At 43.4% G+C, this 25,512-nt stretch overlaps 3 protein-coding genes and 1 non-coding gene across 5 annotated transcripts in view, besides 4 other annotated features; 2 read left to right on the top strand and 2 right to left on the bottom strand.

Annotated features, from left to right (window-relative positions):
- F8 (coagulation factor VIII) overlaps positions 1 to 25,512 on the top strand; it is a 186,932-nt gene that overhangs the window by 125,523 nt on the left and 35,897 nt on the right. The window contains exon 22 of one of the 2 annotated variants that reach the window (NM_000132.4): positions 969 to 1,124. In NM_000132.4, coding sequence (NP_000123.1) covers positions 969 to 1,124 — 156 coding nt within the window. Of the gene's footprint in view, positions 1 to 968; positions 1,125 to 10,883; positions 11,068 to 25,512 lie in introns of those variants that run through there. The other variant, NM_019863.3, reaches the window with a different exon arrangement.
- Positions 6,871 to 16,382: a non allelic homologous recombination region, noted in NCBI's record as "int22h-1 recombination region, recombines with either the int22h-2 or int22h-3 recombination regions". NCBI's record gives the evidence for it as "EXISTENCE:polymerase chain reaction evidence [ECO:0000082][PMID:9694739]" and "EXISTENCE:restriction fragment detection evidence [ECO:0001124][PMID:8275087, PMID:8528212, PMID:7981669]".
- Positions 8,872 to 13,283: a meiotic recombination region, noted in NCBI's record as "meiotic double-strand break mapped by DNA meiotic recombinase 1 chromatin immunoprecipitation followed by single-stranded DNA enrichment and sequencing in the germ cells of some male individuals with PRDM9 A/A, PRDM9 A/B and PRDM9 A/C genotypes". NCBI's record gives the evidence for it as "EXISTENCE:chromatin immunoprecipitation-seq evidence [ECO:0000229][PMID:25395542]".
- F8A1 (coagulation factor VIII associated 1) lies at positions 9,140 to 10,846 on the bottom strand. The gene has a single exon (NM_012151.4). The coding sequence runs from the start codon at positions 10,824 to 10,826 to the stop codon at positions 9,711 to 9,713; it is 1,116 nt and encodes a 371-aa protein (NP_036283.2). The 5' UTR covers positions 10,827 to 10,846; the 3' UTR covers positions 9,140 to 9,710.
- On the top strand, positions 9,743 to 9,841 carry MIR1184-1 (microRNA 1184-1). The gene has a single exon (NR_036049.1). It is a non-coding gene; the product is annotated as a microRNA 1184-1 (primary transcript).
- Positions 9,753 to 9,765: a nucleotide motif, noted in NCBI's record as "nucleotide motif; similarity to the predicted 13-mer PRDM9 A binding motif (LD hotspot motif), CCNCCNTNNCCNC".
- Positions 10,919 to 10,931: a nucleotide motif, noted in NCBI's record as "nucleotide motif; similarity to the predicted 13-mer PRDM9 A binding motif (LD hotspot motif), CCNCCNTNNCCNC".
- H2AB1 (H2A.B variant histone 1) lies at positions 11,643 to 12,229 on the bottom strand. The gene has a single exon (NM_001017990.2). The coding sequence runs from the start codon at positions 12,149 to 12,151 to the stop codon at positions 11,804 to 11,806; it is 348 nt and encodes a 115-aa protein (NP_001017990.1). The 5' UTR covers positions 12,152 to 12,229; the 3' UTR covers positions 11,643 to 11,803.

Raw genomic sequence — 25,512 nt, 5'->3', positions numbered from 1 at the left:
TCTTGCAGCCCATGACCTCTTCTTTAAGAAGTGTCCATTCTGTACTACTTTCCCATTATTCACTCATTCATTCCAAAGCATTTGCTATACAGCAGTATTATACCAGATACCATATTAGGTGCTGGGGCTAGAGAGAATATAAAAGCTAACATTGATTGAGTGTTTAGTATGCGCCAGGCCCTGAACTCAGCACATTACATGTATTAACTCTTTAACCCCTATGGCAGCCCTTTGAGATAAAAACTAATATTATCTTCACTTTACAGATAAGTTGAGACACAGAAAGTTAGGTGACTCAAATGGGTTCACTGCCTTAAGGATCTCAGTCTAATAAGGAAAGCAGAAAAGCAAAGCAACCTTATAATATGGTGCAATAATTTGCTATAATGAAGTTATATACAAAGTGAAGTAGAAGCATAGAAGAAGCAGCACTAAATTTGTCTGGGTGAGTCAGAGAAGGCTAACCAGGAAAAATAGTTTCTGAACTAACACTTGAAGGAGGTGTAGCAGTTCATCACTGACAGTGATGTTGGGGTGGGTCTGGTTTCAGGAGAGGGGAGGAAATTGGCTTTGGTCTGAGGCTGAGGTGTGGGCAAAGCATTAGCTTATGTGGGTCCATTAGCTTATGTGAGTCCACAAAAGGTGTGTGTGTGTTTGTGTGTATGTGTGTGTGTGTGTGTGTGTGTGTGTGTGTACGAAATGGGGGCTCAATGATTTGGTAGTGGTTTGGTTTGTCAAGAAGCAGGCTGGGAACTCAATAAGCATCTTTCCATTCATTTCTACTGTGTATCCCACAGCTTCACACACACATGCACATTTCAACATTGGTGACTGCTTCACTTGCACACCTAAGGTAATGATGGACACACCTGTAGCAATGTAGATTCTTCCTAAGCTAATAATTAGTTTCAGGAGGTAGCACATACATTTAAAAATAGGTTAAAATAAAGTGTTATTTTAATTGGTAGGTGGATCTGTTGGCACCAATGATTATTCACGGCATCAAGACCCAGGGTGCCCGTCAGAAGTTCTCCAGCCTCTACATCTCTCAGTTTATCATCATGTATAGTCTTGATGGGAAGAAGTGGCAGACTTATCGAGGAAATTCCACTGGAACCTTAATGGTATGTAATTAGTCATTTAAAGGGAATGCCTGAATACTTTAAAGAATTTTGGCAGATTTCAGATATTGGACAAACACTCTTAGCTTCCACAAACTTAATTCCAAAAAATAATTTTTCACTTATGAGCAATAGAGTTATTACGGACATATCAGCAAAAATGTAGTAGTGTCAAGGCTCATAGATGATAGAAATGAAGAGATGCTGTATTGATAGAAATATGTGATTCAGGACTGTGTGGATTGATGATTGTGAGCTTGCTTATGGATATCCTAGGTTTGAGGTTATAGTAGGACAATCAGGTTGAAATGTCCAGCAGGCAGTAGGTGAAAGACAAGTTTAGGGGGCAAAACCATGGATGGAGATGAAGATTCATGACTTCCACATAAAAGGATGGGTGAAACTTTGGGAATTGATGAATTCTCTAGAGGTGAGCTCAAGACCCTTAAAGGCTTAAAACCTCAGCGTTATTGTCTACTCTTCCCTCATTTTTATGCCCACAAATCTGGTCAATCCTTTATTTGCAATGCCTCTCACATCTCTTTCTTCTGTTTCCATTTATACCGCTGTTGCCACAGCCCAGGGTCCCATCACCTCACACTTGATCTATTGTATTACATTCCTAACTAGTCTTCCCCCGTTTCTAATCTGTTCTCCGATAAAAGCTGCACATCATTTTCAGGATAATCATCAGTCGCCTGCCTAAAACTTTTCAATGTCTTCCCATTGTCTTTAGAATAAAGTTCAAAGTCTTCAAATGACCCCAAGCAAGATAACTTTTGTTTGCCCCTTTAGATCCATTTTCCTGCTTCTCTACCCTGCTTCTTGTTCTGTGAGGTGAGCTTGTATAGAATACATCAACAGGTTACCTTGTCCTCCAGCTTTTGGTTGGATTTCACCAACAGGGAGCACTGGCAAAAGATTGGCATATTTATTCTTCTGACTTTCTCCTTGCAGAGGAGTTCACTGTATCTCCCCACTTAAGGTCACTGTTTCCCTCAGAGTGGCTTTTTCTACCTGTACTAGCTACTATTGCTGTGTACCAAGCCACTTCAAAACTTGCTGTCATAACAATAACCATTATGTTTTGCTCACAGATTCTGTAGATCAAGACTGGGACACAGTGGGGATGGGTGGTTTCTGGAGCCTCAGTTAGGATTATTTAACAGCTGGGTGCTGGAATCATCTGGAAGTTCCTTCTCTTGCTTTTCTGGTGGTTGGTACTGACTGTCAGCTAGGACAGAATCTGGGGTTGTTGACTGATGTAACTTTACATGGATTATCCCTGAGGCCTGGCCTTCCTTACAGCATGTTTCAAGGTAGTTGGACTTCTTTTTGAGGGGGGGTAGGAAGGTGGGGGGAGGACAGAGTCTCACTCTGTTGCCCAGGCTGGAGTGCACTGGTGTGATCTCGGCTCACTGCAACCTCTGCCTCCCGGGCTCAAGTGATTCTCCTGCCTCAGCCTGCTGAGTAGCTGGGACTACGGGCTCATGCCACCACACCCAGCTAATTTTTGTATTTTTAGTAGAGACAGGGTTTTGCCATGTTGACCAGGCTGGTCTTGAACTCCTGACCTCAGGTGATCCGCCCACCTCAGCCTCCCAAAGTGCTGGGATTACAGGCACCCGGCCTGTAGTTGGACTTCTTACACGTCATTTTAGGGCCTCCAAGTGTGAGTGTTACAGTTAACAAGGTGAAGACTACATAACCTTTTCTGACCGAGTCTTCTAAGTTATGTAGCATCACTTTTGTTGACAAAAAGTGTTGAACTCTATAAAATATTTGAAGAGATTTATTCTGAGCCAAATATGAGTGAGTATGGCCCATGACACAGCCCTCAGGAGGTCCTGAGAACATGTGCCCAAGATGGTCAGGGCACAGCTTGGTTTTATACATTTTAGAGAGGCTTGAGACATCAATCAAATACATTTAAGAAATACACTGATTTGGTCCAGAAAGGCGGGACAACTCAACCTGGGGGCTTCCGGGCTATAGGTGAATTTAAACATTTTCTGGTTGACAATTGGTTGAGTTTGTCTGAAGACCTGGGATTGATAGAAAGGGAATGTTCAGGTTAAGATAAACATTGTGGAGACCAAAGTTCTTTTGAAGTCTTATAGTGGCTCCCCTTAGAGACAATAGATGACAAATGTTTTGTATTCAGATCTTAGTTAATCTCTTTAGGATTGGGAGGGGCTGGGAGAAAAAGATCTAGCTATGTTAATAGAGATTCTTTACAGTTGCAAATTTCCCTCCACAAAGAACAGCTTTGCAGGGCCATTTCAAAATATGGCAAAAAAACATGTTTTGGGGTAAAATATTTTGATTTTCTTCCTTGTCTCATAATGTTATGCCAGAGTAAGGTTGGAAAGTAAATCATGACATATAAGGTTAAATAAAACCCATCTGATGAGAATTTATGATTTGTAGGGCATGACTCCCCAGACCCCTTAGATAGGAATTTGGGCAAGATAAAAAAAAATCAGAGTTTAGTCCTCACTTTCAATACATTCTATTGGTTATAAGCAAATCGCATATCCACCCAGATTCAAGGGGAAGAGACATAGACCCTAATTTTTAATGGGAGAAATGTTAAATAATTGGTGGTCATTTTTTAAAGCCACTACAATAATCTATCCAATTCTCTCTTTCAGGATGTTTCTCTCTTCTGATCCTTTCAGGTTTAGGGATTGTCAACAAACAAAAAGTTAAACCCTGTAAAATACTTGAAGAGATTTATTATGAGCCAAATATGAGAGACCAATGGCCTGTGACACAGCCCTCAGGAGATCCTGAGAACATGTGCTCAAGGTGGTCTGGCTACAACTTGGTTTTACGCATTTTAGGGAGACATAAGACCGAAATCAATAGATGGAAGATGTACATTCATTGAGTTTGGAAAGGCAGGACAACTGGAAGCGAGGCGGGGCTTCCAGGTCGTAGGTAGATTCAAAGATTTTCTGATTGGCAATTGGTTGAAAGAGTTAAGTTATTGTGTAAAGACTTAGAATCAATAGAGAGGAACATCGGGGTTAAGATAAGGGGTTGTGAAGACCAAGGTTCTGTCATGCAGATGAAGCCTCCAGGTAGCAGGCTTCAGAGAGAATAGATTGTAAATGTTTCTTATCAGACTTAAAGAGTCTGTTCTATCAGTCTGAAGGTCTGTGTTGATGTTAATGCTGGTCAGATTTTTCTGAATTCCAAAAGGGAGGCGGGTATAATAAGGCATATTTGATCCCCACTTTCCCATCATGGCCTGAACGTTTTTCAGGTTAACTTTGGAAGGCCCTTTGCCGAAAGGAGGGGGGATTAGAATTTTATTTTGGGTTTACAGGATGGTAATACTCTGTTCCCACCCTCCTAACTAGTATCTTTATTAAACCTTCCACAAATTATCCTAATTTCCATGTTTTCTGTTCCTTGCTGGATCCCTTGTTTCATACAGTAATTGGTGCTAGAAGAAACCCCAGGAAACAGATTTTCAAAATGCAATTCTAAGGTTATGTTGCTAATATATTCAAGAAACACAGAGATAACATATTTGCCAAGGAAGAAAATGAGCAGTTAGGGAATCCATGACATGTGTTAGTATTATAGTTTCTCAGATTATCACCAGTGATACTATGGGATGAGTTGCAGATGGCAAGTAAGACACTGGGGAGATTAAATGACAGTGGCATTTAGTCACTGTGGCAACAAACGTAGCATTACCTGATTGTAGAGTGGTCTGTCTTCTTACAGCCCTAGAGGGCATACACATGGAAAAAGAAATGAAATGTTATGAATATATACAAAATAAGAACACTGATGAACATACATGGAAAATCAGGATGCATGCATAGAGCTTTTGAGGAATACTCCGTATCCTGTGGTTGTAGGCAGATACGACTTAGGGGCTGAGCATAAGTTGCAGAGCTGCAGTGACAATTAAATGCTTAACTCCACCAGATCTATTATGCTGTGGTAAGAGTACCGGTGGGAAGGAGTGAAACTCTGAGGCCTGAGATGGAGGCATTTAGGCAGACATGGATGAGGCTGAGAATTGCAAACCTCCAAATTCCCCTGAACCTCCTTTGCCTGAGGAGGCAACCACTCCCCAGTCTCTGAAGCAGTCATCCCTCTTTTGTGTAAAAGCCTTTCAGTGGCTATAACTGAGATAGGTGCCTCACAAACCAGTGACTATTCTCCTTAGAGACCCTGTTTGGACACTACGAAAGCCAGGCGAGTCACAGAAAATGACAGCAGATCACAAATTTAATCAGGTGGTGATGCCAAAAAACAATTGCAATTCCAGATATCATATCTCTGTTGAAGCAAATTTACACAGCCCCAGGCACCTGATATGGAAGTATTGACCTAGAGAATGTTTTTTCTTCATTTCCATACATTAGTAAAATCAGAATACATTTGAATTTACCAAGTAGGAACAAGAGTATTAAGTTTACTGCCCATGCATCAGGGCAATGTTAGCTCTCTTGTTTTCTATCATAATATAGACTCAAGGGACCTCAAACATCTTTACATCCCACAAGCACAATGCCTGTCCATTACACTGATGACATTATGCTGACAGGATCTGGTAAACACATAACAAATAAGCCTGTCTTGCTCTTGACTTTAATGAGAATGTAACCTGTGTTTCACTGTTTAATATAATGTTCACTGTTAGTTTCAAATACTTTTTATGATGTTTAAAAAGTTTTCTCCTATCCCTATTTTATTTGCAATGGCAACTGAATTTTATCAAATGCTTTTCCAGCATCTTTGACATGGTCACATTTCTCTTTTGTGTTGTCAAATTATACTTAACATTCAATAGTGTGCTGACAAGAAATTAACAACCCACAGGGGAGCAAAGTGAGAAGAGGTTAAGAAGTAAAGGCCTTGATTTATAGCATTGGCAGATTTCCCTGACATAAATACTACTCCCATCATGCCTGGCCCCAGGGATGGGAAGAGATGCTTACTTACAATTGGCTCTCACAGACCAGTGCAAGAGCACTACTGTGCTCCATTTCTGGGAAAACTTTCGTCAGTCATAGTGTGTTAGTTATTTAAAACTTAGCTGGATCCAATTTGCCAACATTTCATTTATAATTTCTATATCTATATTCATGAATGAAATGGGTTTAGCTTTTTCAGTAGCTCTACTTACCAGGTTTTGGCATGAGGGTTATATTAAACTTGAAAATAAAGTGGGAAAGCTTCCATTTTTTTCCATGAAGACTATTGCTCTAGAATAGCTTATTTAATGTAGGAATCCAGTATTTAATGAGAGTAAATGAAAAAGCCATATGAGCCATGTGCTTTATTTAGTGAGAGATACTAGGCTATATTTTCCAATCGTTATATGATTATTGCTATTCTCATTTGTGTTGCCTTGAGTTAATGTCTGCAAATGTGCACATTAGAGTCATATATCCCTTCCTGTGCCATACATCTATATCTGTATACACACATATGTCTTTTCTCCTTTTTTCCCTTCTGTATCAAGAGTTGGCAAGTGTTTGTCTATTCTATTAATTTTTCAAAGAATCAGCTCAGTTTTAAACCCAAACGTGGTTTTGAAAGAGCTGTTTCTAGTTCATCAATCTCTGTTCAAAACTTTAAAAATTCTATTTTCCTTTCTTTTGGTTTGTTTCCTACAATCTGGAGGTGAATGCTTAGTTCACTTATTCTTCAATCTTTGTATTTTAACGATAAGGATAAATTACTTACAGTTATTAACTACTCTCATGAGGTTCATTCCTTGAACAGTCACTGAGCAACTACTATGTCCTGGGTTCTAATTCAGGGGTGGGCAAACTATAGCCCCAGAATTTGGCCCATAGCCTGCTTTTGTACGGACTGTGAGTTAAGAATAGTTTTTACACGTTGAAAGGATTGCAAAGACAAACATACAAAGAAACAAAGAAGACTGTGCAACAGAGACCACCTGTGGTCTGTAAAGACTAACACATTTCTATCCCGCCCTTGACAGAAAGAGTCTGTGGGCTGCTGGTCTCCTCTAACGGTGGTAGAGATGCCTGCACGGTTAACATTAATCCTTGGCACCAGAATCCTCAGCACCTAGGAACCAGATCTTGCCTAACACGCTAATTTCAGTCTTGACCACCTTCCTCCGGCGTAGCGGTTCTCAAACGTCTTTGTCTTTGTACTATTCACGTATAAAATATTCTTTCATAAGCAACATTTATCCTTTTGGGAATACCTCACAATGGGGAGAAGGGGAACCCCAACAGCCTTTAAGGGTTCACTGCTTCGCTGCCACCATTTCCGACGGTTTACACTGTTTTAAGTGTGAATTTGGAATTGTTTTCAAGTTAAAAAGCAAACTAATCATGTCCTCTGAAAGTATTTGCTTTTGGCATGCTAGAAATCAGTGTTGACTTTTGATACTGATGTGATACATTACGAGGGAATTCTCAAAACTGCTGAAATCTGGCCTCGGCCCAGTTATCACTGCTCTTAAGCTTCTGAGGGAGATACATGAATGAGCCCACGGCAAATGGAAAACGAGGAGTTTTAGTGTTTCCTAGAATTATGCTCAGATACCCACTACCTGACCGTCTGGTTATCCTTCCCCTCACCTCCCTGACGCAAGGAGTTTGGACCAGAGGCCTAAGGAGGCTTCTCCTGAAGCCCAAATCCCAAACTGGTCACCAGTCATGCTCCGTAACTCCTGAACCTGACAAGAAGCCAGCCGGCCAGGTCTGCAGCCCGGGTTAAGAGGAGCATACCAGGAAAGAGCCAAAGAGCAAAGGAGCATGAGCCCTTCAACCGCTTTTACAATAATTTGGGCTAGGCGTTCAGGGCTCCGTAGGACCCTTCCTGGCAGCCAAGTGAGAGAAAGAGGAATGATGGTGGAATGGGCCTCTCCTGTGCTTCCCATTACTTCCACACTGTCGAAATAGAAATAGAAGCAGAAAAGAACACCCTACAAGTCCCACCCATTTGGAGGCACTCAACTCACAGTGACAACCCTCCACACCTCTCCCCTGCAAAAAGACGCAAAACAAAAACACCTACTCCAAACTGTGTCCTTACATCTCAGCCCCGAAGATCAGGATTGTGTGCAACTTCGGCCCAAAGGATGCATTTCCCCAGGGTTGAAAGTTTGAGAAAGAGGCTATATTCTGAAGAGTTCTTGTTGTCACCATCAAAAGGATTAAAAAGACGCAATAAATAAGAAAACAGCGTAGTTGGGGGGCATGCTCCATTTGAGCCAGAAAGCCTTGGAAACTTAAGTGTTCTCAAACGGAACGCCATCCTGCTTTGGGGGAACACGGAGGCTGCCTTGCAGTCACGTGATCGCACAACACCAAAGGGCCACGCACTCTGATTTCACCTACTTAACTAAAAGTTGCAGCAAAATCCCTATTACAGGCCAGGCGTGGTGGCTCATGCCTGTAATCCCAGCACTTTGGGAGGCCGAGGAGGGTGGATCATTTGAGGTCAGGAGTTGGAGACCAGCTTGGCCAACATGGTGAGACCCCATCTCTATTAAAAATACAAAAATTAGCCCAGCGTGGTGGTGCACGCCTGTAATCCCAGGCACCCTGGAGGTTGAGGTAGGAGAATCGCTTGAACCCAGGAGGCGGAGGTTGCAGTGAGCCGAGATCACGCCACTGCGCTCCTGCCTGGGCGACAGAGTGAGACTCCATCTCGGGGGGAAAAAAAAAAAAAAAAAAAAAAAAAATCCCTATTACAAATAAAAGCTGTTGTGATCCAGACTGCATATACCTCTGCGAATGGAACCAGAACCGTGAATTCCAATGCAAATCGATGCATCGGCACCAGACCCGCTGCACTGGATGTATCTGCATTGCAGTCACCCGAGTACGGAGCACATCATAGATGATCTCTGCAGGTTCGTTGCCCACATAGGAGGCATAGCGCAAATTTCAAAGGAACGAATACATCCTGGAGCCCAAACAGCTATCTGGTTCTGCTGCTGGCCTCCTGACAAGTAGGTAAGAGAGTCACATTTTATAGACGACGGACACCAAAACCACACATGAGGAGTACAAGAGTAGCTTTATCATGGATTTAGGGCTGTGGTTACAAGGAAGCTGTAAGGAATAAAATGACTCCCATGAAGACGTACCGTGCGGACGAGTGGAAGGAGAAATTTGGCCATTACAAAGACACAGGAATATGTTAAGAAGTGAGGGGCAGGATGAAATCATCTAGGGTAGGTATTTAGAGGGAGGGCGCCGTGCAAAATAAAATCCTCACTATGAAACAAAGGCGGAGGCAGGAGGCTGCGTTAGGTGGAAGCAGCGGAGGAAGGAGACGAAAGGGATTGTCATTTTCATGTCGTGGCTTTTTAGAAGACAGCCATGTCCTCTACTCTGATTCTATCAAAATGTGTTCTCGGGGTGCTGGTAACGTTCAGCCAACGAAATAATTCCTATGGCGGCAGTAGGAATAACAAAACGCAGAAGCGGGAACGATGTCTTTTTATTCCTCCCCAGACGCAAACGTGGATGCATGAGGTTTGGTAACAGGCAAAGTCATCTGGTTAACGTGACTGATGCAAAAAGTCCAGGCCTGGGCAAAAAGAAGTCACTGGGTGAATGGGATGGATCAGACTCCCTGTCCTGAGGGGGAGATGGTTTCTTGCAGAACGAGGTGAAGGAGGTGGTTCTGCTCAGCAGTCAACAGTGGCCACATCTCCACCTGCAGCGACTTGATGGCTTCCGTGTCCTTTTCGTGGGTAGCCATGACCAAAGACTGGAGCAGCAGAAAGAGCTCCTCGGGAAGCTGGCCGCTGCTCTCCTGCCCGTGGCTGTCAAAAGCCTCCCAGGAGTACTTCTCCAGGGTCTGGGCGTGCTCCGGCAGCAGCTTGGCGGGCGGTGGTTGCAGGAGGAGCAGCAGCAGCACGCGGGACACCTCGCAGCGGACCAGCACGTCCGAGAAGGCGCCCAGGGCGGCGGGAGAGGGCGCCGCCGAGCCGGAGTTCGGAGGAAGCAGCGCGGCCGGTAGGGCGGGCGTCGCCCCGGGCCCGGGCTGGGGTGCCGGCGGCGGGGGCGGCGGCAGTGACTGCACCGGGTGGCTGCCGTGCTCCCGCGCCAGGCGCTGCATGCGCGTGAAGACCGCCAGGGCGCCGGTGTAGTCGCGCGCCAGCAGCTGGCAGGAGGCGGCCTCGCCAAGCGCCTGCAGCGCGGCCAGGGGCAGCTGGGGCAGCTGGAGCTGGGCGGCGCGCTGGAAGTGACCGGCGGCGGCGGCCGGCTGGCCCAGGTCGCGCAGGGCGGCGGCCAGCTCGAGGCAGAGGGCGGCGGCGGCGGCCGGCTGGCCCAGCTCGAGGTGCAGACGCACCGCGGCGCCCAGGGCGCTGGCGGCGGCCTGCAGCGGCTCCCCGTAGGCGGCGGGGCAGACCAGGCGCTGGCGCGCGTCGCGCTCCTGCCGCAGGAAGAGGCGGGCGGCCTCGGTGAGGGCCAGCGCCTCCCCGGGCCCGTGGAAGAGCGCCTGCTGGCAGCGCGCCACCGCCAGCTGGCACCAGGCCGCGTAGGGCAGACACTCCTGGGCGCGCAGCTCCCGGCCCAGCTGTCCGAACTGCTCGCCGGCCTCCGCCACGTTCGGCTTCCGCAGGAACCGCTTCTTCAGCTTGTTCGATACCAGCCGGTAGCGGGCCAGGAAGTCCCCGGCCTCGGGTCCCGGGCCGGCGCCGCCGCCGCCCAGGCCTGCAGCCGCTGCCGCCATGCTCGCCGCCCCAAGCACTTCCCGACGCGCCGCCGCAGCTGGCGGGCGGGCCGGGGCGGGGCGACGTGCCCTGCGTCCCCCTCGGCGGGCTGCCGCCGTGCCCGCGCCGGCTCCCCAGCCCGAGCCTGCCCCTTGCCCTGATGAGGTGCAAAGAGCGGGATCGGAGGCGGGGCCTGGCCGGGCTGTGAGCGGCGTATGCAAATCGAGGGTCTCGGGGATGCGGATCCAAGACCCTGGGAAGGTACGCGGGGCCTGGCGGGGCACCAGCTGCTGCTAGCTCGGCTGCAATGCAAGTGGTCTAGGTTGCTAAAGGCATCCCACAGCCTCTCCATCTGAACATGACCCAAACGAAACTCGTGACCCTAATTCCATGTCTGCGCATTTCTAGACTGTTGTCCCCCCCCCCCCCCGCCCCGACTACTCAGTCCTCCGTCTTCCGGTCCAGGGCCCCTTGCCAAGCACCGGGTCCACCTCTCCGTCCCCACCCCGGTTGCCTTAGAAGTCCGTCCTGTCGCAACACTGCAGTCATGGTCTTGAGGCCCACCCGCCCCAACGAACACCATCATGCTGAGGACTTTCCCGGGCAGGCCCTGACTTGCTCAGAACCAGCGGGGGTGTCCCCTTCCCACCCAGGGCCACTCCCCTGCACTGTCACCCGGAGAGACTGCTCCTCTGTGCCATCCCTGGCTCCCACCCAACCCCAGACCCCCACCACCTCTCCATCCCTCCAGCTGTGGAGGTCTCACAACCCCCCAACCCATCTCACCGCCCCCCCACCCCCACCCCAAGGCAAAGTGACTGAAGCGGGCAGATGGCTTCCTTGAAACATTTTATTGACAGAATTAATGAAGGCCCAAGACTTTGGGGCCTGGGTTGTGGGGGGAGGGTGTTTAAGGCCGGGGGTTCAGGCCGGGGGATTTGGGGCCGGGTGGGTGGACGAGTGGACCTGTCAGGTCCCAGGGGCCGGGTGTCAGAAGCTAGTCCTCGCCAGGGGCCACTTGAGAGATGGTGGTCGTGTTGAAAAGGGTGCTCAGTAGCCTGTCGTTGTGAACCACCATGTCCAGCAGCAGGGGAGTGATGTTCCGCTCTCCGCTGTTCTGGGCCTCGTTGCCCGCCAGCTCCGGGACCTTGGCCGTCAGGTACTCAATAACCGCAGCGAGGTAGACCGGCGCCGTGCGACTCAGGCGCTGAGCGTAGTGGCCCTCCCGTAGACTGCGCTCCACCTGGCTCACTGAAAACGAAAGCTCCGCTCGGACGGTGCGAGAGCAGGTCCGCCCCCGGCCGCCAGCACCGGAGGACCCTCGGCGTCTCCTCCTCCTCGGCATGCTGGGCGTTGAGTGTGCTATCTCGGCTTGGCCCAGCTAGGCAAGATGGCTCTCAAGAGGACAGTTACCGCGTCCAGTACTGTGTATCCTAGCGACCAGGGCCCAGCCCCTCATTGGCTAGGGAGCCGAGACCAATGGGCACGCACATCCGGCGACGGGCACGCATGTGGTGACGGCCCCTCACAAGGGACACACGTCCGTCAGGTGACCTCATCACTTTCCCATTGGCCTCGAGGGAGCAGGCCTGGGCCTAGAAGTGGCTGGAGGGCCGTGGGGGTGGGGTGGGGCGGGGCAGGGGGAATCGCGCTGGTGACCCTCTCTTTGCCAGTGGGAACTTTCCCTTTCTACTGGATGGGAACACCGTGGGAAAGACAAAGGGGTGGGCGAGGGGAGGACGGGTACCACGCCTTCACAATGTTGCACATCCATCACGACCACCTAGTTCCAAAACGTTTTCAACACCCCGAAAAGAAACCGAAACCCCTGTACCTATAAGCAGTCACTTGCCGCACGCCTCCTTCCACACCACCACTACCAGCCCCCACACCCTCCCACACACACCCCCTGCCCCCGCCCATACACACGTTCCCGATAGTCCCTGGCAACCCCTAGTCCATCTGCTTTCTGTCCATAGAGGTTAGCCTGTTCTGGAGATTTCCTATAGATGGAATTATACGACCAAATGTGAGGCCGTGTGTGTCTGGCTGCTTTCACTTAGCGTAATGGTTTCATCAGGGTGCATCCATGTAGAGGCATGAATCACTACTTCCTTCCTTTGAATGACTGAGTACGATTCTGTTGTATGAATAGGAGGCCACATTTTGTTTACCCACTCGTCAGTTGATGGACAGGTTATTTCCCCCTTCTGGCTATTGTGAGTGGCACTGCCATGACCATCTCTCTACAGGTTTTTCTTTGAATATCTCTTTTCAGTTCTTTTGGGTCTATTTCTAGCAGTCAAACTGCTGGCTCGTGTGGTAATTCTGTTTAACTTATTGAGGAACCACCAAACTGATTTCCACAGCAGCTGTAATCTTTCGCATTCCCAACAGTAGTGCATGAGAGTCCCAATTTCTTCACAGCCTCATCAAAACCTGTTTTCTGTTTGCCTCATTTTGTTTTGTTTACAGTAGCCATCCTACTGGGTGTCAAGTGCTATCTCATGGTGGTTTTCATTCGTATTTCCCAAATGGCTAATGATGTTGCTGTGGTTTGAGTGCATCCCCCAAATTGTGTGTCTTGGAAACTTAATCCCCAAATTCACATGTTGATTGGAGGCGCAGCCTCTGAGACGGTAATTAGGATTAGATAAGGTCATCGGGGTGAGACCCCCAGGATGCGACTGGTGGCTTTATAAGAATAGGAAGAGAGGCCTGAAACGACATACACGCTCTTGCCCTCTCGCCGTGTGATACCCTCTGCCGTCCCCAGATGCCGGGTCACTTCCCAGTCCCCAGAACGGTAAGAAATAAATTTCTTTTCTTTATAAATTGTTCAGTGTCGGGTATTCAATTATGGCAACAGAAAACAGACTAAGACATCTTTTCATGTGCTTCTTGGCCCTCTGTACCTCTGCTTTGGAGGAATGTCTATTCAAGCCCTTTGCCCATTTTTTAATTCGGTTGATTGTATTTTGGCTGTGGGCTTCTAAAACTTATTCATATATTCTGGAAAATAGACTCTTATCAGATATGTGACTTGCAAATGTTTCTCCCATTCACTTTCTGGATAGAGCCCTTTGTTGCCCAAAAGATTTACATTTGGATGTAGTCCAACTTGCCAAATGAAAAGATATCTGTGGCTTTGCCTTTGGTGTCATACTGAAGGAGCTGTTGCCTAATCCAAGGTCGTGCAAAGTTACATCTCCGTTTTCTTCTTAGAGTTTTATAGTTTCAGCCCTTACATTTAGATCTGTGATCCATTTTGAATTAATTCTTTACATGATGTGAGGTAGGGGTCCAGGGGCCTTCTTTTGCATGTGGCTATCCAGTTGTCCCAGCGCAGTTTGTTGAGGGGATTATTCTTCCCCTCCACCCATTGAGGGGTGCCGGAACTCTTACTGAAAATAAACTTTACATAAATATATGGGTTTATTCCTGACTCTGAGTTCTGTAACATTGACCTAATGTATCGATCACGATGGCAGTACCACCCTTTTCGGATTACTGCGGTTTTGTAGTACGTTTTGAAATTGGGAAGTGTGAGTCCTTCAACTTTTTTCTTTTCTGAGATTGTTTTGGCTATCTGAGCCCCTTACATTTTCTTATGAATTTTAGGATCAGCTTGTCAGTTTTTACAAAGAAGGCAGGTTGGATTCTGACAGGCATCACGATGAATCTGTATATTGCCTTGGAGATTATGGGCATCTTAACAATATTAAGTGTCCCAATCCGTTAACACAAAATGCCTTTCGATTTATTTAGGTCTTCTTTAATTTATTTTAGCAACGTCTTGAAATTTTCAGAGTATACATCTTGTACACCTTTAGTTAAATTTATTCCTCGACATTTTATTGTTTCGATGCTACTGTAAAATGAATCATTTCCTTAATCTTATTTTCATGTTATTCATTGCTAGGGTGTAGAAATACAACCGACTGTTGCAGATTGATCTTGGATACTGCAACTTTGCTGAGCCGAATATGCTTTGCTGAGCATACTCAGACAGGGTTGGCATATTAGTCCGTTCCTACACTGCTATAAAGAACTGCCTGAGAATGGGTAATTCCTAAAGAAAAGAGGTTTAATTGCCTCATGGTTCTGCAGGCTGTACAAGGCTTCTGCTTCTGGGCAGGCCTCAGGAAACGTGCAATCATGGCGGAAGGCGAAGGGGAAGCAAGCACCTTCTTCACATGTTGGAGCAGGAGGAAGAGAGAGAGAACGCACGCAAAGGGGGAAGCGCTGCACATTTTCAAACAATCATCAGATCTTGTGAGCGCTCTATCAGAAGAATAGCAAGGGGGAAGTCCGCCCCCATGATTCAATCACCTCCCACTAGGCCCTTCCTTCAACAGGTGGGGATTACAATTCGACATGAGATTTGGGTGGGGACACAGAGCCAAACCGTCTCAGTTTTTTTTTTTTTTCTTTTGTTGGACTCTTTAGTGTCCTCTATATAAGAACATGCCATCTATGCATCTATGAATAGAGATGGTTTTACTTGTTCCTTTCCGATCTGGATGCCTTTTATTTCTTTTTCTTGACTAATTGCCCTGACTAGAACTTTGAGTACGATGTTGAGTTACAAGTGGCATTCCTGATCTTAGGGGGAAATCAACCAGTCTTTCACCATTAAGTATGATATTATCTCTGGGTTTTTCATGGATGCCCTCTATCAGGTTGAAGAAGTTTCTTTCTGTTCCTGGTTTGTTGAATTTATTTTCATGAAAGGGTACTGCGTTTTGTCAAATGATCCTTTTTGTACATGATTAAGATGACCATGAGCCCCCTCCCCCGCCCCCGCTCCGCCATGCATTCTGTTAATATGGTGTATTATATAAATTGATTTTCACATGTTGAACCAACCTTACATTTGTGGGATAAATCCTATTTGGTCATAGTGTATAAAGAGTGGTCAATAAACATTTCGTTGAAAGAATAGGAGTGGATCTGGCAAGCTTCTTGGAGGACAATGTGTGTGTTAAAGAATCTGTAGCATGATGAGAAGCCAAGGCACCGGTGGGAGGAGGGGAGTTGCAACCAATTCATTAAGGCTGGAGAGTACGATGCCAGTGGAGCAGTAGTGGTTGATGTGGCTGGGAAAGAGGTAGGCAGGAGCCAAGACATGGAGGTTCTATTATGCCATGCTCAGGTTTTAGAATACCCTGTAGGCTACACTGAACCCACTGTGGTCTTTCAGCTTGGGAGTGACGTGGTCTGATTTGCCTCTAGAAATATCACCCTGGAAGCTGTGTGGAGAATAGAACAGAGAGGATTGTGTGTGGAGAATAGAACAGAGAGGACTGAGATTGGAATTAGAAAGCTGCTGTATTATACCAGTCAAGAAATGACAGATATCTCAACTAAGACAATGGCATTGGTAGATAAGACTAGGGGACAGAGTCCATAAAAAGTTTAGGTAGTAAAATGGCACACAGTAGACACTCACTACATATTACTCATACTGGTGAACCTAGCTGGAGACATGATAATTCATGTGCTCATTCTTCAAAAAATATTGAAGGGTAGTGCCAGGTATACTGTGTTAAGCATTGAGACAACACCAACGAGAAATATTCTGTTGTATAAATAGGCCACATTTTGTTTATCTACTCATCAGTTGATGAACAGTTCATTAAATGATTTCCATGGCAGGGGAGGTAAATGTTGTCCTCTATCCTCTTAGATTCTCCAGCTAGGACTTAAATAAGATAGATTAACAAAAGAAAAGCATACAAAATTTTATTTGGCATTTTTTACATGTACATGGGAGCCCTCATAAGAAATACGAAGACTCAAGTGATTAATTACAGCTGAATACTTACATACTAGGGTGGGAAAAGTATGGTAAATTGTGAAAACATAACAAGACATTGGGGTTTGGGCTAGGAGAGTTAATTGTGGAAAAGTCACTAAGAAGGTAAGAGTTGTGTAACAAGGTTTTTTGGTGCAGCTTTCCCTCAAGCCTGGACTCCCCATCTCTGGCAATAAGAATGTGTTTCTTCTTCCTGGTATACAGATAATACCTTTCACATCAGAGTTTCATCTCTTCCTTTCATGAAAAAAAAAGGAAGGTCAGTGTGCCCTTCTTGCATCTGCTACTTTCAAGTGCCTTTAAACACAAAATAATCAATATGCCAAAGTGGCATATTTTGAGGTGGCATTTGATCCCCTACATTACTGATTGGATAGTGTGAATAGTGCTGCCATGAACGCTCCTGTACAAGTGTTTGTTTGAACAGATGTTTTAAATTGCAGACGCTCCTCAACTTGGGATGGTATTATATCCTGATAAACCCATTGTTAGTTAAAACCATTATTAGTGTAAATTCATTTAATACAGCTATATTAGTCCATTCTCACACTGCTATAAAGAACTACCTGAGACTTGGTAATTTATGAAGAAAAGAGGTTTAATGGACTCACAGTTCTGCAGGCTTAACAGGAAGCATGACTGTGAGGCCTCAGGAAACTTACAGTCCCAGCAGCAGGTAAAGGGGAAGCAAGCACGCCTTACCATGGTGGAGCAGGAGAGACAGAGAGTGAAGGACGGAAATGTCATACACTTTTAAACCATCAGATCTCATGAGAACTCACTCACTGTCTCAAGAACAGCAAGGGGAAATCCACCCCCATGATCCAATCACCTCCCACCAGGCCTCTCCTCTGACACACGGGGATTACAATTCGATGTGAGATTTGGGTGGGGATACAGAGCCAAACCATATCAGCGGCTAACCTACCAATCATCATAATTTAGCCAGGCCTACCTTAAACATGCTCAGAACACTTACAATTAGGCTACAGTTGGGCAAAATCATATAACGTAAAGCCAAATTTATAATGAAGTGTTGACTATCTCACGTAATTTATTCAATATTGCACTGAAAGTGAAAGGCAGAATGGTTGTATGTGTACTTTAAGTACTTTTATGCATATGGATTCTACTGAATGCATGTTGCTTTCATACCATCATAAAGTCAAAATATTGTAAGTCCAACCATTATAAGCTGGGAACCATCCATATTTGAGGTACATACCCATGAATATATTTATGGGTTTATTTCTTGCTTCTTAATTCTATTCCATTTATATATATGTCTGTCCTTATGCCAGTACCACAAAGCATTGATAACTGTAGCTTTATACGAAGTTTTGAATTTGGGAAATGTGAGTTATCCAGCTTTGTTATTTTTTAGGATTATTTTGGCTATTTGAGGTCTTGCACAATTACACATGAATTTTAAGATTGGCTTTTCCATTTCTGCCAAAAAAAAAATGGCCATTGGGATTTTGATGCAGATTGTATTAAATCTGTAGATCACTTTGGGTAGTACTATCATCTTAATAATATTGTCTTCCAATTCATGAACACAGGATATATTTTCACTTCTTTATGCTGTCTCTAATATCTTTCAGCAATGTTTTGTAGTTTTCAGTGTACAAGTCTTTTACCTCCTTAGCTGAATTTATTCCTAAGTATTTTATTCTTTTTGATGCTATTTTAAATAGAATTATTTTTTATTTTGTTAATTTCATCTCAGATTGTTCATTGCTAGTGTGTAGAAATACAACTGATTTTTGCACGTTGATCTTATATCTTGCAACTTTGCTGAATTCGTTTATTAGCTCTATAGTGTTTTGTGGATTCTTCGGGGTTTTCCATACATAAGCTCATGTTCATCTGAGAATAAGATAGCTTTACTTATTCCTTTTCAATTTGGATGCCTTTTATTTCTTTTTTTCCTAATTGCTCTGGCTAAGACTTCCAATACAATTTTGAATAGAAGCAGTAAAAGCAGGCATTCTTGTCTCGTTTCTAATGTTAGGGAAATATCTTTCAGTCTTCTACCATTGAGTGTGATGTTAGTTTTGGGTATTTTATGAATGCTCTTTATCATGTTGTGGATTTTCTCTTCCATTTCTAGTTTGCTTAGTGGTTTTTTTTTTTTTTTTTTTTTTTGGTCATGAAAAGGTGCTCAGCTTTATCAAGTGATTTTTCTGCATCAACCAGAATGAACTTGCAGGGGTTTTTTTCCCTATATTTTATTAATGTGGAGTTGACTGGGGGATTGATTGTCTTATGTTGAACCAGTCTTGCATTATTGGGATAATTTCCACTTGAGCATGGGCTATAACCTTTATAACATGCTGCTGGATTTGGTTTGCTAATATTTTGTTGAAGATTTTTGCACCTAGATGCATAAGGGAATATTATACTCACATATTCAATTACATGCAATTTGTAATTTTCTTTTCTTGTGATATATTTGTCTGGCTTTGATATCAAGATATGGTGGCCTCATAGTATGAGTTGTAAAGTTTACTCTCCTTTTCTGTCTCTTGGAAGAGTTTAAGAAGGATTAATGTTAATCCTTCCTTAAACATTTAGTAGAATTTACCAGTGAGGCCTTCTAGCACAATGCCTGGCACATAATATATGGAATCTAGGATTTGTATAGTCAGTCATTAACTATTTGTTGAATTAATAAATTGTCTCCCCAAGCAGGTTTCTAATCAAGGCACAAAGATTGAGTAACGAATGAAGGCAAAGCCAATGTATACAGGGTATTAGTTTTCTAATGCTGGGGTGGCAAATTACCACAAACTTAATATGGCTTAAAACAACACAAGTTTATTATCTTACAGTTCGATAGGGCAGAAGACTGACCCAAGTCTTACTGGGCTAAAATCAAGGTGTCATCAGGGCTGCATTTCTTTCTGGAAGCTCTAGAAAAGGATCCTTTTTCGGTCGCCTGTAGTCCCAGCTACTCGGGAGGCTGAGGCAGGAGAATGGCGTGAACCCGGGAGGCGGAGCTTGCAGTGAGCGGAGATGGCGCCACTGCACTCCAGCCTGGGCGACAGAGTGAGACTCCCTCTCAAAAAAAAAGAAAAAGAAAAGGATCCTTTTTCCTTTCTTTTCCAGCTTCTAGAGGCCACACACATTCATTAACTCATGGCTTCCTTCCTCCATCTTCGAAGCCAGTAACATTGCACCTTTGTGACTATTCTTAAGTAGTCACGTCTCCCTTTGACTCTCCTCTTCTGCCTCTCTCTCTCACTTTCAAGGCCTCTTGTGATTACATTGGGCCGACCTGGATAATCCAGGATATTCTCCCTATTTTGACATCAGCTAATTGGCAAACTTAATTCCATCTGCAACCTTAAATCCCTCTTGCCATGCAACATAACACAGTCAAATGTTCTGGGGATTAAAATGTGGACATCACTGAGAGATCATATTCTTCCTAGCACATACGGTTTAGTCACAAGTTAATGATCAACATTTATTAGCTATATAATACTCTTAAGTTCAACATAAACTTTTTGGATGCTGATAAAACGGAATGGCATTTTACATTGATATATACTTCATTTCAAAACTTCTTCTACTTCTCAATGATTATTCTGTAGCAACAAATTTCTTTTAAATCAGAAATTTGGAAACATAACGAGACCTATCTCAAATCAAAGATGACTATCCCCTTTTGGAGTCAGACTACACATTCATTATTTTAGTCAAAATGAGACATAAAATTCAGGCCCCCAAGAGCTGCCAGTACCCACTTACGCAGGAGGTAGCTAGACGAAACAGGTAGCTTTCTACAAATGATTTTGCACCATCCCACCCCAGAGAGGTGGTTTGGAGTGTTTACTTATTACCTGGGATTTAATTATACTAGCTCTTGCAAAAGCCAAATCTAAAGGCCATAAATAGAAGGTCAAATTTTCTCCTATATAGAAAGGAGAGCAGCAGAGAAAACAAAATCCTTGGTAAATCTTTAAACAAAGTTATATGGTTTGAATATGTTATTCATTCTATTTTAACCCCCCAATACAGATATATTTATAAAAAAGAATATTGTGATTTCTGGTATAACTTGTTTAGGAACAAAGCCACAAATTTATTAATATTTTCTATTCCCTGGGAAGAAAAAAATGCTACATGGCAGAATAATTTTTTAAAATTTCCAGCCGGGCACGGTGGCTTATGCCTGTAATCCCAGCACTTTGGGAGGCCGAGGTGGGCGGATCACAAGGTCAGGAGATTGAGACCATCCTGGCTAACACGGTGAAACACCGTCTCTACTAAAAATACAAAACATTAGCTGGGTGTGGTGGTGGGCGCCTGTAGTCCCAGCTACTCGGGAGGCTGAGGCAAGAGAATGGCGTGAACCCGGGAGGCGGAGCTTGCAGTGAGCCGAGATCGCGCCACGGCACTCCAGCCTGGGCGACAGAGCGAGACTCCGTCTCAAAAAAAAAAAAAAAAAAAAAATTCCCATGATACTAAACTGATGTGTGATCATATAATAGACTTACACTGATACCTATTTTAGTGTATTCAAGCAGATAAAAAATCCCAGGTGTTCTATGAGTGATATCATTTTCAGTATTTCTTATGCTGTATGCCATGGTTTAAATCTAGGCCTTTCGAATTGGCATTACTACCATATTTCTCAAACTGTATTCCCTTTCTCTTGAATATGTTATGTAATTTTGTCCAGAACCCAGACATGTCAAGGTGTCAAATCCCACGTTTTGGATACTAACGTGTCTCATTAATTCATACAGTGGGATCATTCATTAATGCCCACATTATAGACTCTCTCTCTCTCTACACACACACACACACACACACACACACACACACACACTACATTCTTAGAAGATCATTCTGAGACCAGGGTGGAGGATAGGCTGTGCATTCCCAGTACTCTTTCACAGCTGACTGTGTCCTCTGCCAGTGTTTTCAAACTTTACTGCTTATGAAACAGCTAAGGGTCTTATTAAAATTTAGATTCTGATTCAGTAGAACTGACATGGTGCCCAAGGAACTGCATCTCTTTTAAAAAATCTTTATTTAGGTATAATTGACAAAAGTTGCATATATTTAAGAGGTACAACTTGATGTTTTGATATATTTTGTTTTTCATATATGATGTTTGATACATTGTGAAATGGTCACCACAAGCAAGCTAATTAAGATATATCTATCTCTTTGCCTAGCTACCTTTTTTTGTGGTGAGAACATTTATGACCTACTCTTTTAGCAAATTTCAAGTATACAATATTGTTTACTATAGTTACTATATCGTACATTAGATCTCCAGAACTAATTTATCTTGCATAATTGAAATTTTGTACCCTTTGATCAACATCTCCCTGTTTCCCCCACACCACAGTCCCTAGCACCTAAGATTCTACTGTCTGCTTTTATGAGTTTGACCATCTTAGATTCCACATATGAGGTCATGAAGTATTTTTCTTTCAGTGTCTGGCTTATTACACTTAGCATAATATTTTCCAGGTTCATCCATGTTATCACAAGTGGGAGGATTTTCTTCTATTTTAAGGCCAAATAATATTTTATAATTGTGGGAATATTCCATCAGATATATATATATCAGATTGTCTTTATCCCTCCATCCATCAATGGACACACTTAGGTTGTTTCCATATCTTGACTATTGTGAATACTGTTACAGTGAACATGGGAGTGCAGATATTCAACATACTGATTTTGTATCCTTTGGATATATAACAGAAGTGAGATTGCCAGATCACATGGTATTCATTTTTAGTTTTTTTGAGGAACCTCTATGCTGTTTTTCATAATGGCTGTACCAATTTATTTTTGCAGCAACAGTGTACAAAGGTTTCCTTTTCTCCACATTACCACCAACATTTGTCATCTTTTGTCTTTTTGATAATAGCTATTTGCTATGGTTTGAGTGTTTTCCCCAAAAAACATGTGTTGGAAACTTAATTCCCAATGCGACAGTGTTGGGAGGTAGGGCCGAATGGGAGATGTTTAGGTTATGAGGACTCCACCCTCATGAATGGATTAATGCCGATTACAAAAGCACCTAAGGCTGTGAATTTGAATTGCTCTCTCTTGCCCTCTTTTTGCCCTTCTGCCATGTTATGATATAGAAAGAAGGCCTTTGCCAGATGCTGGCCTCTTGATCTTGGACTGCCCAGCCTCCAGAACTGTGAGCCAAATACATTTCTGTTCACTACAAATTACTCAGTCTGTGGTATTCTGTCATAGCAGCATAATAAATTAGAGTCCATAATAAGTTATAGTCCATAACAGACTAAGACACTATTCTAATAGATGTGAGGGAATATCTCATTGTGTTTTGATTTGCATTTCCCTGTGGGTTAGTGATGCTGAGCATCATTTATCTGTTGGCCTTTTATATTTCTTCTTTTGAAAAATTCTATTTGGGTTCTTTGCCCATTTTTAATTGGGTTGTTTCTTACTAATGAGTTGTTTGAGTTTCTTACCCATTATCAGATATACAGTTTGCAAATATTTTCATCCATTCCATAGGTTGTCTTTTCACTCTGTTGATTATTTCTTTTGCTGTGCAGAAAGTTTTTAGTTTAATGCAATCCCAGTTTCTATTTTTGTTTTTGTTGCCTGTGCTTTTGGTGTCATATAAAAAAATTATTGCCCAAATCAATATCAGGTAGCTTTTTTCCTGTTTTCTTCTAGGAGTTTTATAGTTTCAGGTCTTATATACAAGTGTTTAATCAATTTTGAGTTGAATTTTATGTATAGTGTGAGAAAAGGGCCCAATTTCTTTCTTCTGCATGTGGATATTCAGTTTTCCCAATATCATTTATTGAAGAGACTCTCTTTTCCCCGTTGTGTGTTCTTGGCACCCTTGTCAAAAATCTGTTGACTGTAAATGTGTGAACTTATTTCTGGGCTTTTCTATTCTGTTCCCTTGGTTGATGTGTCTATTTTTATGCCAGTACCATACTATTTTGATTACTGGAGACTTGTAGTATATTTTGAAATCAGGAAGTATGATGCCTCTAGCTTTGTTCTTCTTGCTTAAGATTGCTTTGCCAGGCTGCATGTGGTGGCCCACGCCTGTAATCCCAGCACTTTGGGAGGCTGAGGTGGGTGGATCACTTGAGGTCAGAAGTTTAAGAGCAGCCTGGCCAACATGGTGAAACCCCGTCTCTACTGAAAAAATACAAAAATTAGCCAGGTGTGGTAGCAGGCCCCTGTGATCCCAGCTAATCTGGAGGCTGAGGTGGAGAATCACTTAAACCTGGGAGGCAGAGGTTGTAGTGAGCCAAGATCGCACCACTGCACTCCAGCCTGGGCAACAGAGCAAGACTCTGTCTCAAAAAAAAAAAAAAAAGATTGCTTTGCCTCCTTGGGGTCTTTTGTGATTTCATATTAATTAAAATTTTTTTTTTATTTCTGTGAAGAACACCATTGAGATTTTGATAGGGATCACATCAAATCTATAGATTACTTTGGGTAGTGTGGACATTTTAACAATACTAATTCTTCCAATCTAGGAATATGGAATATCTTTTATTTATCTGTGTCTTCTTTAATTTCCTTCATAAATGTTTTCTATATTTTCATTGTACAAGTCTTTCATTTCTTTGGTTAAGTCTATTCCTAAGTATTTTATTCTTTTGTTGCTATTGTAAATAAGATTATTTTCTAATTTCCTTTGGGATATTTTATAGTGTATAGAAACACCACTGATTTCTGTATGTTGATTTTGTATCCTGCAACTTTACAGAATTCATGTATTAGTTCTAACAATTTTTTTTTGAGTCTTTAGAGTTTTCTACATGTATGATCATGTCATCTGCAAAAAGAGATAATTTTACTATTCTCTTCTATTTGGATGCTTTTTATTTTATTTATTTTTTAAATTATATTTTAAGTTCTGGGTTACATGAGCAGAACATGCAGTTTTGTTACATAGGTATACACGTGCCCTGGTGGTTTGCTGCACCCATCAACCCGTCACCTACATTAGGTATTTCTCCTAATGTTATCCCTCCCCTAGCCCCCCACCCCCCAACAGGCCCCAGCGTGTGATGTTCCACTCCCTGTTTCCATGTGTTCTCATTGTTCAGCTCCCACTTATGAGTGAGAACATGCAGTGTTTGGTTTTCTGATCTTGTGATAGTTTTTGAGAATGATGGTTTCCAGCTTCATCCATGTCCCTGCAAAGGACAGGAACTCATCCTTTTTTATGGCTGTATAGTATTCCATGGTGTATATGTGCTACATTTTCTTAATCCAGTCTATCATTGATGGACATTTGGGTTGGTTCCAAGTCTTCGCTATTGTGAATAGTGCCACAGTAAACATACATGTGCATGTGTCTTTATTGTAGAATGATTTATAATCCTTTGGGTATATGCCCAGTAGTGGGATTTGCTGGGTCAAATGGTATTTCTAGTTCTAGATCCTTGAGGAATCGCCATACTGTCTTCCACAATGGTTGAATTAATTTACACTCCCATCAACAGTGTAAAAGCGTTCCTATTTTTCCACAACCTCTCCAGCATCTGTTGTTTCCTGACTTTTTAATGATCACCGTTCTAACTGGCGTGAGTTGGTATCTCATTGTGGTTTTGATTTGCATTTCTTTAATGACCAGTGATGATCAGCATTTTTTCAAATGTCTGTTGGCTGCATAAATGTCTTCTTTTGAGAAGTGTCTGTTCATATCCTTTGCCCATTTTTTGATGGGGTTGTTTGTTTTTTTCTTGTAAATTTGTTTAAGTTCTTTGTAGATTCTGGATATTAGCCCTTTCTCAGATGGATAGATTGCAAAAATTTTCTCCCATCCTGTAGGTTGCCTGCTCACCCTGATGATAGTTTCTTTTGCTGTGCAGAAGCTCTTTAGTTTAATTAGATCTCCTTTGTCA

This window comes from Homo sapiens, chromosome X (genome assembly GCF_000001405.40).
Source record: "Homo sapiens chromosome X, GRCh38.p14 Primary Assembly".
NCBI lineage: Eukaryota > Metazoa > Chordata > Mammalia > Primates > Hominidae > Homo > Homo sapiens.
This window is presented reverse-complemented; position numbering and strand designations above follow the sequence as displayed.